This window comes from Homo sapiens, chromosome 1, assembly GCF_000001405.40.
Source record: "Homo sapiens chromosome 1, GRCh38.p14 Primary Assembly".
NCBI classification, from domain to species: domain Eukaryota; kingdom Metazoa; phylum Chordata; class Mammalia; order Primates; family Hominidae; genus Homo; species Homo sapiens.
Window position 1 is genome coordinate 59502223 of NC_000001.11, and position 15457 is coordinate 59517679.

Consider the following 15457-nt stretch of genomic DNA (forward strand, 5'->3'; position numbering starts at 1 on the left):
TCTTATGGATATATTATCTACAAAAAGAGCTCTGCCCTCAAGGCGATTATAATCTAAATTAGAAGAGGGAAGCACAAGGGAAAAAGCCATTATGTAGAGCAGAATGATGTAATTCCAAAAAACATGCTGTTGGATTGTAGAGGAAAGAGTGATTAATTATGATCTACCCAGGGAAGGCTTTTTGCATGTGGCCTTAGGCTAGGTGAGAACAAAATAGGGCACCAGCAATTATCTAGAGAATTGGGTCACTGTGGGTGCCAAAGTGGATGATGATTTCAAGCTAAAAAGACTATGCTCTGAATAGTTCAGAATTGGCCGCCCACACTCCTGGAATCTGTTGAATTTTTGCCAACTCCCTTGTTCTCTTTGTGACTTATTGCCCTGGCTTAGATGAGCTTCCTACTCCAGGTGGGGGAAGATGCAGGATGGTGCTGCCATAGCAGGGAGTGCTGACAACGTGGAAGAAGCCTTCCTTGAGTCAGGAGCTCTGGATTCAATCTAGACTCTGCTCCCACAACTGGTTGACTCCAGGGAAGCCACCTCCTTCTCTGGGTTCAGTTTTCTCTACTGTAAAATGTATACACTGAAGTTGATGGTCTGTATGGGCCATTCAAAATCCCGTGTCTCTGTTTTTGGAACAGAGAAGGAATCAGAGGAGAGGACTGGAAGAAGCTAAAAGATTCAGCATGTTCGGATTTCATGACTCTTGTGGTTTTGTTCCTAGACAGGACCTACCAGGGGAGCCTCCTGCAAATGAGGTGGTCTTCCTTTTCTACTCATCACATTCTATGCCTGCCCTCTCTAACCTACATGGTATAGTAGGAAGACGCCATACCATGGAGTCAGAGAATCTTGGGCTAAAATCCTGACCATGTCCCATTACATAGTGACTTTGAACAAATTATGTAATCTTTCTGTGCTTGTATTTCTACAACTGTAGAATAATAGGTTGCAATATCATAGACTCTTCATGTAGAGAATCTAATTCTATTACTATAAAATCTAATTCTAATACCATTGGTTTGGTGTTAGCAATGAAGGTGATAGCAACTGAAAAGTAAGAAGAGCAGTGACTAAAAGCTCATAGGTTTTGATAAATGGGCACTATTACTATTATAATATTTATTGTGTTAAAATACAAATTATGTACAGCACTCCTCTGAACACTGACCTACAATAGTTACCAGTTGCTTGTTGGACTTCTTGAACCAGACTTGACCAGGCAAAGAGAATTTGAGAACCTCTATTTCACTAAAAAGGTGGTATCTACAATATCTTGCCACTGTAGCATCTGCTATGTGTAATGAGATGCTTGGGCCTGCTGGTGGTCACCTATTTTCTAGGTATACGCATTGGCTTTTGTGGTGTCGCCATATATATATATATATATATATATAAAATATGTATTATATATATAATATATATACATGATATAGATATAATTAAATGTTATATTCAATTAAAATAAATATAATTTTAAATTAAATATAAGGAACATGAGAGTTAGCAGGAATCATGGGTGAAAAAAATATGTATAATAACACCACAAATGCATATATATAGGTTTTTGCCCATGATTCCTGGTTAACTCCCATAGCCCTTATTATAACATTGGGGCACTTGAGGCCTCAGGCAACAGTCTCTCTCAGTGACCCCCTCTGGTCCTTCTTCACCTGCCCAAGGTAGGATGCTAATTTGATTATGGATCAGAAGACCCTCATTCCAGAGAGGGTCCTGCCCCATAGCCTAGTGGAAAGAATGCTACACAGAGAGGCCAAAAAAAGTCTGAGCAGATAGTCCTTGCTGGATTTAGATCATATGCTTTTTGTCCAATCATATTTTTACATGGTTGTCAATCATGCCTGTGTAAAAAAGCCTCCATAAAAACCCAAGAGTACAGGGTTTGGAGAGCTTTTTGATTGCTGAATACATGGATGTTCCTGGAGGGTGGAGTGCCCAGGGAAGGCATGGAAGCTCTGCGCCCCTTCCCCCTTACCTTGCCATGTGCATCTGTTCATCTGTATCCTTTGTAATAGTATTTATAATAAACCAATAAACGTGTTTCCCTGAGTTATGTGAGCTGCTCTAGCAAATTAATCAAACCCAAAGACAGGGTTGTGAGAACCCCAACTTGAAGCCAGTAGTTCAGAAGTTGTGGAAGTTGGACTTGCCACTGGTGTCTGGTGCGTGGGGTTGGGGGCATTCTTGGGGACTGAGCCTTCAATCTGTGAGATCTGATGCAATCTCCAAGTAGATAATGTCAGAATTGAACTAAATGACATCCAGCTGGCGTCTGCTACAGAATTAAGTGCTTGCTTGGTGGTTGGGAGAAACTCCTACACATTTAGTAACAGAAGTCACCTTCTATGTGGATGATTGCTGTGGTGTAAGACCAGAGGAAAAACATGATTTCAGAGTTTTTCCCTCAACAGCCTTGAGATACTCCATTTTAATAAGATAGAGAGATGAAAGTGTATTACTGGTGGGATTATGTTAGAAAACACATTTCTTGTCCCAGTAGCATTCAAGATCAAGAGTTAAACTTAATACAGTCTCTCCTCTTTACTCTCCCAACTGATATTCAGCTTCCTGTGTGAGTGTATGTTTAATGTTTTTGTCTAAATTAATTGATCTTTGTCTTATGATCTCTCGTCTTAAAAAAACTAAGTTCAGCTAAATGAACATTGCTGAGAACTTATGTTCTAGACACTGCTGACGTTGTGCTGAGGGGAAATGAATATAGAGGTAAATAAAATAATTTGAACTATTCTCTGTCTAGTGGGAAAGAGAGATCGAGGTATAAATAGGGGAAAAAATAAAACACAACGTAAGGGTCATAATTTTTAAGTTGGATTAAAAATATGTGTGTGTTTCTTTATTAAACACCTCTTATAGGCCAGACTATCGGGCCAGGGATATAACATTATATAAAACTCAGTCCAAATTGCATAGGTGTCTACAAGATGTAATAACTACAAGATGGCATAAGAAGAGGTATTGGATGGGAATAGTGTCGACTAGAAAGTAAGCTACTTGAGCGTAGGGGCCTTAACTATCTTGTTCCTTAATGCATTTTTAGCATTAGAACAGTGCTTGGCTCGTATCAGGTACTCATTAAACATTTCTGTAGTAAGTGATGAGGCTATCATAAAGTTTTGTTTCCCCACCCCTAAACCAGATTGTAGGTTCAGTCTGAAAGGACTCCAGGACCCTCTCTGCTGGTAAGACATGGTGCCACTTTGTACTCTCCCAGCCAATCTGATTGGCCTCTTGACTTTGGCAAAACTGAGCTGGGGGCTGGCCCCCAGTGCCAAGCACAGAGGAAGCAGGGTCACATGCCACCCATGCCCAAAGCTCTTTCTGACATTTCCATGGGCCTGGAACCAACTCTCCTCCTGGGTTTCATCTCATTATATGTGGGAAGACAAAAGAACACTGAACCTTCCAGTTAATTCAACACCCCGCCCCCACTTACCCCTTCCTGGAGAGGATAACAGTTCTGTTGACCATTATAATGCATTTTCTGTCTCCCAGCAGTCCACATAGTCATTAATTTCTGCTGCTGACATCAGGAAAGAGGATTATGTGTGTGTCTGAAACTGTTCCCAAAGTGCTCATTAGTCATAGATAATTGAAAAACTGGTAGGGGAAGATTTGGTGTAATAGGAGCCCCCGCCTGTGAAGAGGGACTGCAACCACCAGATAATTGTAGATTCCAGCTTTTGACCACTCAGACTGAATCTGCCCATCCAAATGGGAATTCAGCAGACTTGAGCCTAAGAGCTCTCAGAGTGATAGTGTTTTTACATACCCAGGTGAGGGTGTGTACACCGAGACAGAGACAGCCAAATCAAGAGAATAGGTGAACTGCCCTTGGGTCTCTTTCCTGCCTTCAGACTGTGGAGCAGTGTTTGGAAAAAGTGTCCAGTATTCTCCTTTATTTTGTTTTTATTTCAACGTAAGATTGTTTTGATCACAAAAGACATACAAGGTCATGGGATATAAGAAACACAAACATTAGAGAAGAGTACCCTACACTGGATCCCAACCCATGCTGTGACAAAATTCTAGGGTTTTTCTGGAAGTTTATGTGCTTACATTTTTATATCCTTTTCTTTAAAAAAAAAAATCACATGATCATACTAAGAATACTATTCTGCATCTTGCCATTTTTTCTGAATTTATCTTGGAGTTCCAAATCTATACCTTAATTCAAGTTCATTCATTTTAATGGCAAGGTGGGATTCTGACCAGATTTAAGGGGGAAAAACATCTTTTAAAATATTATACAAGAGGCTGGGCATGGTGGCTTATGCCTGTAATCCCAGCATTTTGGGAGGCCAAGGTGGGTGGATCACTTGAGGTCAGGAGTTCGAGACCAGTCTGGCCAACATGGCGAAACCCTGTCTCTCCTAAAAATACAAAAATTAGCCAGCCGTGCTGGCGTGTGCCCGTAGTCCCAGCAACTTGAGAAGCCGAGGCATGAGAATCGCTTGAACCTGGGAGGCAGAGGTTGTAGTGAGCTGAGATTGTGCCACTGCACTCCATCCTGGGCAACAGAGCGAGACTCTGTCTCAAAAAAAAAATTACACAAGAAATGTAGACCAATTAGAAATTAGAGAAAAAAGAAAAAAAGGAAAGAAAAAAGAAATCACTCATAATTCCTCCACCCAGAGAAAACCTATTTTCTGTATTTTTTTCCCCTAGGAATGTATTTTTACAAATAGTTCATCTACTTTCATTGTTGTTGTTCTTACAGCTGTTAAAAGAAAACCTTTAGGCAAATTAAATTTAACAGTTTAACTGTGCAAAGAATGATTCATGAATTGGGCAGGTCCCCAACCAGAATAGGTTCAGAGAGACTTTTGCTCAGCCACATGGTTGAAGAGAAATTACGGACAGAAAAAGGGAAGTGAGGTACAGAAAAATGGAAGTAAAGTACAGAAACAGCTGGATTGGGTACAGCTCTGCATCGGCCTTATTTGAACAGAGTTTGAACAGTTGGCCGCCTGTGGGTGGTTGAAGTATGTCTTCTGTGATTGGCTGAGACTCAGCTTCTAGTTACAAGAGTAGGTTACAGTGTGTTTACAAATCCAGTTAAGTTACAGTCACTGTGTATGAAGAAACCTTTAGGCTGAAGTTACAAACGGACACCTTTAAGTTAAACTTAATTTAACAAAAGGAAGTCATATACTGCATGTTTTGCAGCCTCTATTTTTCACTTGGTTTGACTGTTTTAAATATAAAAATTATTCCCCAAGCTTTTCTTTACACTGTGTGTTTATCTTCTTTTTTATTTATTTATTTTTTTGAGACGGAGTCTCATTCTTGTTGCCCAGGATGGAGTGCAGTGGCGCAATCTCGGCTTACTGCAACCTCTGCCTTCCTGGGTTCAAGCGATTCTCCTGCTTCAGCCTCCCAAGCAGCTGGGATTACAGGCAACTGCAACCATGCTTGGCTAATTTTTTTTTTTTTTTTTTTTTTTGTATTTTTAGTAGAGACGGGGTTTCATCATGTTGGCCAGGCTGGTCTCAAACTCCTGACTTTGTGATCTGCCTGCCTCGGCCTCCCAAAGTGCTGGGGATTACAGGCATGAGCAACCACGCCCGGCCACATTTATCTTCTTAAAAACCCAACCTGAGCACTTACAGTCGTGCCCCTCTGGGCAATTCCTTTTTGCCTGGCCACGCCTGAAGCCCTCCGCTGCCTCTTGTCCCGTCTGTTCCAGTTCTCTGTTCCTCCTTGTTCCCCTTTTTGCGACATACTAAATGCCTCAAACACACCATGCCCCTCAGGGCTCCCTACAGGAAACTCACTTTTTGCTCTGCTGTCATCCCTTTCCCCGGAGCATGCCAGCACTGAAACCACCAATCTCCAACTTGCCTTTCCACACAGGCTTGAAAGTCATCTTCACCTTGAAGACTGTATTCACTCTACTAGCCACCCTAACTGGACCCTCCACAGTTCTCTGGGAACACCATGTACACATTTCACCTTTCTAGCATTTTCTACATGGCCCTAAGAGTCTTAGTTTTTCATCATCTTTGTCCCAAACCACAATATGAGACCTCAGCACCTAGATCTTAGCACATGGTAGATGGAAATCTATGCAGGCAATCATTAGTTCTATTGTTTCTGAAATGTTTGTTAAAATGCATGAATGAATGCTTGAATGAAGCCTAGAAAGAACTGCAAATGCTCAGGCAGTGAAGTCTTGATTTCTGGGAAAAGCAATGCTGTGAATAATTTAATTTTATGGTGAAAGAAAAGCCAAACAAGGATTATATTGGGAAAAGTTGTCAGGAGGCACTAATGTTTGCCTCTGACAGCTCTAGTGCCCTCAGTGTACCTCTGGCTGATAAACTTAGAGTGTGATTTTGAAGGGGTGATTTCTCAGGGATTCTCACCTATTTCTATCATCCTCTCTCATGCCAAGCTGTTTCATTTTGGTCTCTAAATAAACAAAGCTCCTTCCTGCTTGGAGTCCAGATAGCCTATTCCTGAAGGCTGTGGTTCCAAATGAAAGATGGGATATTTGTCCTTGTATATATTTATTTTCATCCCTAACCACTGGATTGAGGAGAAGGCTGGTTCACTGCTGTAGGTTGGGTTTTCCAGAAGCAAAGGCTGAGACAGATTTGGGGGGATAAGGTGTTTATTAGGGATGGTTGGCTGTGAAAGAAGGAAGAGAGAGAAGGACTGGGTAGAGGGAAAAGAGCTGAACTGAGGTGCATTCCTGCAGCACCTTGGTGAACTCAGCAGAGTCTCTGGAGTGAGTGGTGTCTATCAGAGCCCTTCTGCCTCTGCTTTGCAAAGTCACCAGGTACTGGCTGTCCTGGGAGGTGCATCACCTTGGGAAGGCAGCTCTCTGCAACTGAGGCAGGCCCTGGAACATCTGGCAGCTGTCTGCTGACTTTACTCCATCCTTAAGGGGGAGTTTGAGCCATGGTATCTCAGTCTCTACCATGCTTCCTATATCCACGCAACCACTGTGACCTGTTATTTCTTGTTCCATGGAATCCCTTCTGTCTGCCTCTGTTTCTACATCTCCGTTACCAATATCTCAGTGAAGATCCTTATATTCTCTCTCTTTCTTTGATTACTGAAATAGATTCACACTATTTTCCCTAACCCCAGTCTATCCTCTGCTATAATACTGCCAGAGAGTGCTTAAAAAAGCACAAGTTTAATCGCTTTCCTCCTGGCTTAATGCTCCTTTAGTGGTTTACAGTGGGCTTCATGATTAAGTTCAAACACTTAAGTATGGATTACAAGGCCCTGCATCCACTGCCCCATCTGCCTCCCCAGCTTCCTCTGTCCTTCAACACCCACCCCCTACCAGTTCACACCCCAGCCTATGTTCCAATTTACCTAGCCCTTTTGATAGTTCCCTTAGGGGCCCCTTCTCCCTTTTTTCTGTCCTTGCTCAAGACGCATCCTCTGCTGATGAAGCTCCCTGTGGTCCTATAGCCTATAATTAGACCCAGATCTCCTGTCTGCATGCCCAGGACTCTCTCTGCCTCGCAGTGGTCTGCAGCCTCATGTTCTGAGCCTAGAGGACATAGAATCAAATTAAGCTCCTTTACCAGCTAAGGTTTCTTCCTAAATTACTATAGAGAAAACTTGGAAGAGTGCCCCACCCTGCTAATCCTGTCTAGAACCTTTTTTATAAAAATTACACCTTTTATGTTTGTGGAGATTGGGGGTGAAGGTGGAACAGAATTTCCATTTTGACCTTCCTATGAAAACCATTTTTAAAAAATCTCAATTTAGTAGGCAAGATTTCTAAACGGTGCTCCTTTTTCTTTTTCTTTTTTCTTTTTTTTTTTTTTTAACATACATAATGCTTGTTCTAAAAATACTTCTCTTGATCCTTTCATCCATTCAGAACCCATTTTTAAACAACTTTTACTCCAAAAGGTAATGTAATGAATAAGAGCAGAGGTGTGGATATCAGTCAGAGTAGAACCCATGGCCTGTCTTCAGCTCTTAGGCTGTCTCTAGGGTGTTTATTTTTCTTCTGTAAACCACAATTTTCCCATCTGTCTGTAAAATGGGGGTAGTATGGGTCCTATTGTACCCTTCACAGAGGGTTAATATGAAAATGAAATGAGAAAATGCATGCTATGTCCTTAGTGCAGTCCCTAGCATGAAAGTGCTCAGCAAACTGGAGTGCAGTCTCTCCTGTGTTAGATACTAGCCATAGTGACATAATTAAGATATTGTCCAGAACCGTATTATACAAAGCCAAGGACACTGCTCTCTTCCAGGTTTCTGCTACTTTGGCATTTGAAACAGAATAAGATTTTCCTGTTCTCTGCCCCATCCTTTGAGCATCTTATACTTATCCTCCAGACCATCAGTGTCCAATAGAAATATAATATGAGCCACATATGTAATCTTAAATTTTTTAGTAGCCATGCTGAAGAAAGTGATACTAATTTTTAATGTATCTTATTTAACTTAGTATATTCAAATTATTATTTTAACATGGAATTGATATAAAAATTATTGAGGTATTTTACATTCATTTTTCCAGATGAAATCTTTGATATCTGGTGTGTATTTTCCGCTTAACACCTCTCAATTCAGACGCTAGATTTTTGTTGGAAATACTTGATTTAGATTTCTTAAATTAATCTAGAAAAAGTAGATTCGCATACCCAAGTTGTTCCGAACATACTTAAAAGTTTTTCAGTAACTGAATTTAATATCAGTTTTTAAGTTGAAGTTAAAACTAAATAAAACTAAATAAAATGAAGAATTTAGTCCCTGAGTTACTCTAGCCATACTTCAAGTGCTCAGCCCACATGTGACTAGTGGCTGCCATATTGGACAGCAGAGTTCTTCTAGAAGTCACTGCAGAGGTTTCAGTCTTACTCTTCTTAGCTAAACTTGTTTTCATATTCAATTGTAGATAGAAGCTCTTAAAATGGATAAAAATGGTGTCGTCAAAGTGCTTTGGTTCCATTTAGAGGAGGTTGGTTAAGCTGTTCACTCTCTGACCCCTCTCCCAACCTCCACCCTCACCTCTACCCCCAGAGGTCCTGGAGCACCTCTGCCCAGTCCTTGAGCTCCATGGAACAATTAACAAGTGGCATCTTAGCACTCAAAAATTGCTGATTATGCACCCAGATTCTATCTTGGGGCTCAAAGGGGTCTTAATATATCTATGAGTCAACTCCTAGCCCCTCCCTGCAGTGCAGAAATACTATAGAATCCTTGGGGGATGAGAGAGGGCTCGGGCTCTGTTTAACACCTAGGAGCAGATGGATCATTTCATTCTATTCTGTCTTACGTGGTTCTCTGGGTTCTTATCTTGTCTTCCTAACTAGGTTGGGGGCAAGGACTGCTTTTCACAGCCCCACAGCACCCACACAAAGCAAGACAATCAATTCTTAACTGAAGGCCTGACTGCAAGAATTCAAGGTCACTTGAAAAATCAGGGTCACTGCATTGCACAACTCCAAAGAACATCATTCAAATTGTATTATATGATTGTGCAAGTGGCAGCCTTGTAAAATTTGCAAAGGTTTAGACTGGAATATTTTTTCCAGCTGAGAAAAACTTTTTAACTAATTATTTGTTGGTACAAAGTACACCTTTTTCCTCTTATCCTCTGCCAGGAAGCAACTGAAAGAGTAAGTTTTCTTGACTTAGGAATATACGTTCATTAGAGAGGGTGTATGGATGTGTGAACATGTGGGTTTACGTGCGTTTAAGTAGGTTAGTAGATCTGCTGTGTTAGGAAGCCCATTTGGAATGGTTTGAGCATTTAAACCTTGTATTTAAGAGGCTACTGTGTTTATATTCCTTTTGAAATTTCCCATTTTCAGAATCTTTATCTGGTTTGAATGATGCTTTAGAGTTCCTTGTTTGTAAAGCTCCACAAAGCATGACCCATAGGTACCAAGCACGTACACTAAAGTCACTGGATGAGCAAAGGGACTCTTGATGACTGCATGGTTTTTATCTTTGCAAATGCAGAGGAGGGAGGAGAGAGCAAAGAGTTTCTCTTAAAAAAAACCCTCTGTTTACTTTTGTGTTTTTCAAACTGATGGTGTTTGTTTTTTCTCATGTCTACCCAGGAAACCAAGTGCTACCTCCTGGAGCTTCTCTTGGAAATGGGCTCACACCAGAGGCAGCAAGAGACCTTGGCCTTCTCCCTGGGATTGCGGTCGCAGCTTCACTCATTGATGCCCATGCAGGAGGACTAGGTAATCTCTTATTTGTTGCCTACAGCCAAAACCGTATTCAAATGGAATATTCCCTAGAACCGAAGACACTCCTTTTCTGTTTTTAAAGCAAAGGTCAAGGACTTTGGTGTTTCAGGATATAATAATGAAAAGCCTTTTTACAGCTAGGCATTTGGATAGAATTACAGAACTTTTCATTAATGATAAAATTTATTTATAATTGTATTAATTTCTTTATACATGGCAATAGAAAAAAATGTATTTGAATAACTTTCTGCATAGTTCTTTTGTTTACTGAAAATTCAAAAAAGATATGTTAATTTCTTGCCACACTTAGCTCTACTGTTTTTTTGTAAGGTACTCCAAAACCCTTATAAGTCTCTTAGATTTATTTTAATAATATATTTGGCTTATGTCCTGTATCCAGTTCCTTGGCTGCAGTCTTGATTTTATCTTGTACATAACTCTCAAGTCTTTCATTCATGTATTCATTTGTTCATTCATAAAACACCCGTTGAACACTTACCATGTCCAGGCATGGTGCTAGAAGACAGTGAACTTAAAACAAAACCAAATAAAACCAAAGTCTCTTCCCCAGCTTTTAATGGGAAAACACACAGGGAAACAAAGAATTACAGTAAAGAATGATGACTTCCTCATCCTTATTGCAGGTTGTGTGTGTTTTTTGCAGGGGAAGTTGTTCTGGTTCTCAGCATCTCTCATCTCAACTGTAGCCATATATTTTTTTCCTAGCCTTTCATTCTAACAATGTTTTGTTTTAAACTATGATTTATAATTCATGAGATCAATTTAGCAGGACATGACCACTGAATTTGCACAACAGAATGGAACAGAATTGAATAGAACAAAGTGGAAAACATCAGAGTACATTTCACAAAGTAAGGGAAGGCACTGCTTTGTGGAGCTGTGTTTCCATTCTGTGTGTGTATACTTTCAGACACTTCCATACTCTGCCCATGCATTTACACCTCTGTGACTTGGCACACATGTTCTTTGTCCAGAATGATTGGTCCTCCACTTCTCCAGCTGGCTAACTCCTCCTCTAACTGCAAGACCCATATCAGATGCTTTCTGCTCTGCATAGCCTTCCATGAAACACTCAGGTGTATTTAGAAATTCTCTAAATTATGCTTTTTTTCAGCACACTATTTGAAGAAATGATCATATTGCATTGTAATTTCAAATATATCTGCATGTCATTTCCATTAGAGTGTGAACTCCTTGAGAACAGGAACATTATGTTATCTGTCCTGTATCCTTCATGCCAAGCCCTATGTCTGGTTCCTATAGCTGCTTATTAAGTTTATTAAATGAATAGTCACATTAAGGCAAGAATAAGGTGAAATGGCTTTAAACAGTAGAGTGAAGATTAATCTGTTTTCTTATGCAACGGATTATTAAATGGTGCCTTGTTCTACATACTACATGGATTTCCAGAGCAGGATCGCTCTCATCAATCTATGGACATGTCTGTCCTGTTCATCTCTCTGTCCTCAGGATCTAAAACAGTGCCTAAGAATTAGTAAACAACTCATAATATATGTAGGTTGGTTGAATGCTATGTAACGTAGTTCTGATTACAGGCAAGGTTGTTTCTCTCCAAATACTTTTCAGTGTGAGCAATGTGTGCTTTTGATTGGAATGTTAAGATTTTGGTTTTTACATACAAGCACAGAGAGAACTTGAGGTCTAGGCAGACATGGAGTGTTTCTGTCCCCTAGCAATCCTGACATTCCAGATCATGTGTGAGGCCACAAAAGCTTTCTCTGTCATGCTTTTTAAATTATCCCTGGGGTGACAGTGTCAATCATCCACCCCTACCTGGGTGACAATCACTTGGCTGGGACCGGCATATGCTGAAAGAAAGAGAACTGCTGCTTGAAGAGCCGCAGGCACTACAGTTTCCTTGTCAGTTTCCCAGACTTCCCTCAGGGACGTGCCAAAACACACCTTCTCACTTCTGCCCAGGACTCACTATGTCCTCCAGGAGGGGAGACTGTCAATGACCCTCACCTTTTTCCTAAACAGAGATGTTCAGTGGCAGAAGTTTTACCCTTAGAAGCTTTGGCTTAAGCCTTTTGTTCCCCGTAAAATGCAAATGCTTGTAAGTGATATGGTTTGGCTGTGTCCCCATTCAAATCTCCACAGAGTTGTATCTCCCAGAATTCCCACATGTTGTGGGAGGGACCCAGGGGGAGGTAATTGAATCATGGAGGCCGGTCTTTCCCATGCTATTCTCGTGATAGTGAATAAGTCTCACGAGATCCGATAGGTTTATCAGGGGTTTCCGCTTTTGCTTCTTCCTTATTCTTTCTTGCTGCCACCATGTAAGAAGTGCCTTTTGCTCTTCGCCATGATTATGAGACCTCCCCAGCCATGTGGAACTGTAAGTCAAATTAAACCTCCTTTTCTTCCTTGTCTCGGGTATGTCTTTATCAGCAGCATAAAAACAGACTAATACAGTAAATTGGTACCAGTAGAGTGGGGCATTGCTGAAAAGATACTTGAAAATGTGGACACAACTTTGGTACTGGGTAACAAGCTCATAGAGGGAAGAGACTTGCCTTGTCTCTGATGAGACTTTGGACTGTGGACTTCTGGGTTAATTCTGAAATGAGTTAAGACTTTGGAGGACTGTTGGGAAAGCAGCTGGGAGGGAGGCTGTACCCTGCAAAGCCACAGAGGCAGCGCTGCCCAAGACCATGGGAACCCACCTCTTGCATCAGTGTGACTTGGATATGAGACCTGGAGTCAAAGGAGGTCATTTTGGAGCTTTAAAATTTGATTGCCTTGCTGGATTTTGGACTTGCCTGGGCCCTGAAACTCCTTTGTTTTGGCCAATTTCTCCTGGAATGGCTGTATGTACCTAATACCTGTACCCGCATTGTATCTAGGAAGTAACTGACTTGTTTTTTATTTTACAGGCTCATGGGTGGAAGGGACTTGACTTGTCTCAGATGAGACTTTGGACTGTGGACTTTTGGATTAATTCTGAAATGAGTAAAGACTTTGGGGGACTTTTGGGAGGGCATGATTGGTTTTGAAATGTGAGGACCTGAGATTGGGAGGGGCCAGGGGCGGAATGATAATGATTTGGCTGTGTCTCTATTCAAATCTCAACTAACTTATATCTCCCAGAATTCCCACATGTTGTGGGAGGGACTTAGGGGGAGGGAATTGAATCATAAGGGCCAGTCTTTCCCATGCTGTTCTCGTGATAGTAAGTCTCACAAGATCTGATGGGTTTATCAGGCTTTTCTGCGTTTGCTTCTTCCTCATTCTTTCTTGCTGCCACCATGTAAGAAGTGCCTTTTGCCCTCCACCATGATTATGAGACCTCCCAGCCGTGTGGAACTGTAAGTCAAATTAAACATCCTATTCTTCCCAGTCTCAGGTTTGTCTTTATCAGCAGCATAAAAATGGACTAATGCAGTAAGTTAGTAACTTTCCCCCATATTTTTGTTAGTGGAAAGATAGAATAGTTTTTTTTTGTTTTAATGGAAAGATAGAATAAGAATCTTGGATTCTTTAAGGCCTGAACTTAGATGCCAGCAGTGGCTGGGAAGGGCACAGGAAGGTGATAGTCCATGATGACGGGTTGATACAGACTTACTTAATATATGTTGACTATGTTTTATCCTTATTATGCCTTCTTATGCCTTCTTATGCCTCTTTCTTTACCCTTCACCTTACAGCCAATCCAAGAGTTGGATATCTCAAAAAAATTAGGAGGCCTGGGTGCAAATGTTTCCTTTCATTTCTACCTTTCCTATACCCCTATTAGGATGTGGAGGTGAACAGATGCCTGAAAATCTTGAAAAGGTTGTCCATGGGTCCAACTCTATATTAACTAAATATAATTGAGTGAATGCAACCTGTCAGTGATTGGTCTAGGCACTGGAGATTATTAGCAGTGAACAAGTCAGGCAAAGTCCATTCGTTTTGGAAAGAAAATTCTCATTGTTCTCCCCTGCCTGCATGTTTGTAGCTTAATAGTATAGGTTTGGGACAGCTAATCCCTGAGACATATTGTGATGCTATGACAAGGGCACTCAAAATGGAATTTTAAGTTCTGGATTTAGATTGTGTTTCTGCCTACAAATATGGTGCTTCGCAGAACTTTTGTCTCCTGTTATGCAGTGAGAGAGTGAGAGACAACAGAATGCAGGATTCACTACTTTGTGATTCTGTATAGGTTGAGGTCAGTAATAGCCTCAAGAACTGGCTAAATGAACCCTGTGTTAAGAGATTTCTGAATGTCAAGTACAGACACAGCTTTGGATTTGGAATTGCCACCCAGGAAGAGGCCATCCAGGCCTCTCACCAACAAACCCTGACAACTGTAGTCACTTCAAATGCTGACCTGGCATGGCCTGCTTGAAACCCCACATTCTGACTAGTATGAGGGGTCAGCACTCTGCTTTAGAGAAATACCCCTGGACTTTCATTCCCAAGGGAGGCCTGGGATGGGAGGATAAAGATCAAAGAAGCAAGCAAAACTCAACCCATGCTTTTCCCAGTTCTGGAAAAAGAGGAGGAAGGGCTTTGTGGGAATAAAAATCAATGATAAAAGAACATTTTGTTCTTAAGGTGCTGGTTAGTAAGTTCTCCAGCAGACAGTCAGAAGATAGGAGTAGCTTTGTTTGCACTTTGTGGGGGTGGTTCTGGCCAGGGCTCCTGCTGCTGATATTTTTCTAGCTTATAAAAATAACATTAACTTTTTTCCAGGTCTTTTCTTGGCTCCAGCACCCCAACTGCCCTGAAAGGCAATAACAACCTGATTTCTGTCTCAGGCCCTTCTCTTCTCAGTTGCTCTTTTTTTTTTTTTTTTTTTTTTTTTTTTTGAGACGGAGTCTCGCTCTGTCGCCCAGGCTGGAGTGCAGTGGCGGGATCTCGGCTCACTGCAAGCTCCGCCTCCCGGGTTCACGCCATTCTCCTGCCTCAGCCTCCCAAGTAGCTGGGACTACAGGCGCCCGCCACTATGCCCGGCTAATTTTTTGTATTTTTAGTAGAGACGGGGTTTCACCGTTTTAGCCGGGATGGTCTCGATCTCCTGACCTCGTGATCCGCCCGCCTCGGCCTCCCAATCAGTTGCTCTTATCTGGCAGACAGACTCCTGATTATCCATCAAATCTTGAATCCTGTTCTCCTCTGGGAAGCCCTCCCTGACTTCCCAAGTTGACTTAAGCACTCTCTTTTTCCCCCACTGTGTCTTGCGCTTGCAGGTTTGTGTGTGCCAC

The 15457-nt window shown here is 41.4% G+C and overlaps 1 protein-coding gene across 59 annotated transcripts in view, besides 2 other annotated features; it reads left to right on the forward strand.

Moving 5' to 3' along the window:
* FGGY (FGGY carbohydrate kinase domain containing) overlaps positions 1-15457 on the forward strand; it is a 466353-nt gene that overhangs the window by 205845 nt on the left and 245051 nt on the right. For 58 of the 59 annotated variants that reach the window (XR_007061929.1, NR_103473.2, XR_007061930.1 and 55 more), the window contains one exon: positions 10089-10217. Coding sequence is in view for 55 of the 59 variants with exons in the window: in XM_011541731.2 (XP_011540033.1) it covers positions 10089-10217 (129 nt within the window). In the remaining 4 variants the exon portion in view is untranslated. Of the gene's footprint in view, positions 1-10088; positions 10218-13407; positions 13574-15457 lie in introns of those variants that run through there. The other variant, NM_001278224.2, reaches the window with a different exon arrangement.
* Positions 5058-5127: an enhancer, noted in NCBI's record as "active region_1110". NCBI's record gives its function as "activates an Ori minimal core promoter by ATAC-STARR-seq in GM12878 lymphoblastoid cells {active_cell/tissue: GM12878}" and the evidence as "EXISTENCE:reporter gene assay evidence [ECO:0000049][PMID:35858748]".
* Positions 9802-10002: a silencer, noted in NCBI's record as "peak256 fragment used in MPRA reporter construct". NCBI's record gives its function as "represses an SCP1 promoter by STARR-seq MPRAs in K562 erythroleukemia cells {active_cell/tissue: K562}" and the evidence as "EXISTENCE:reporter gene assay evidence [ECO:0000049][PMID:32103011]".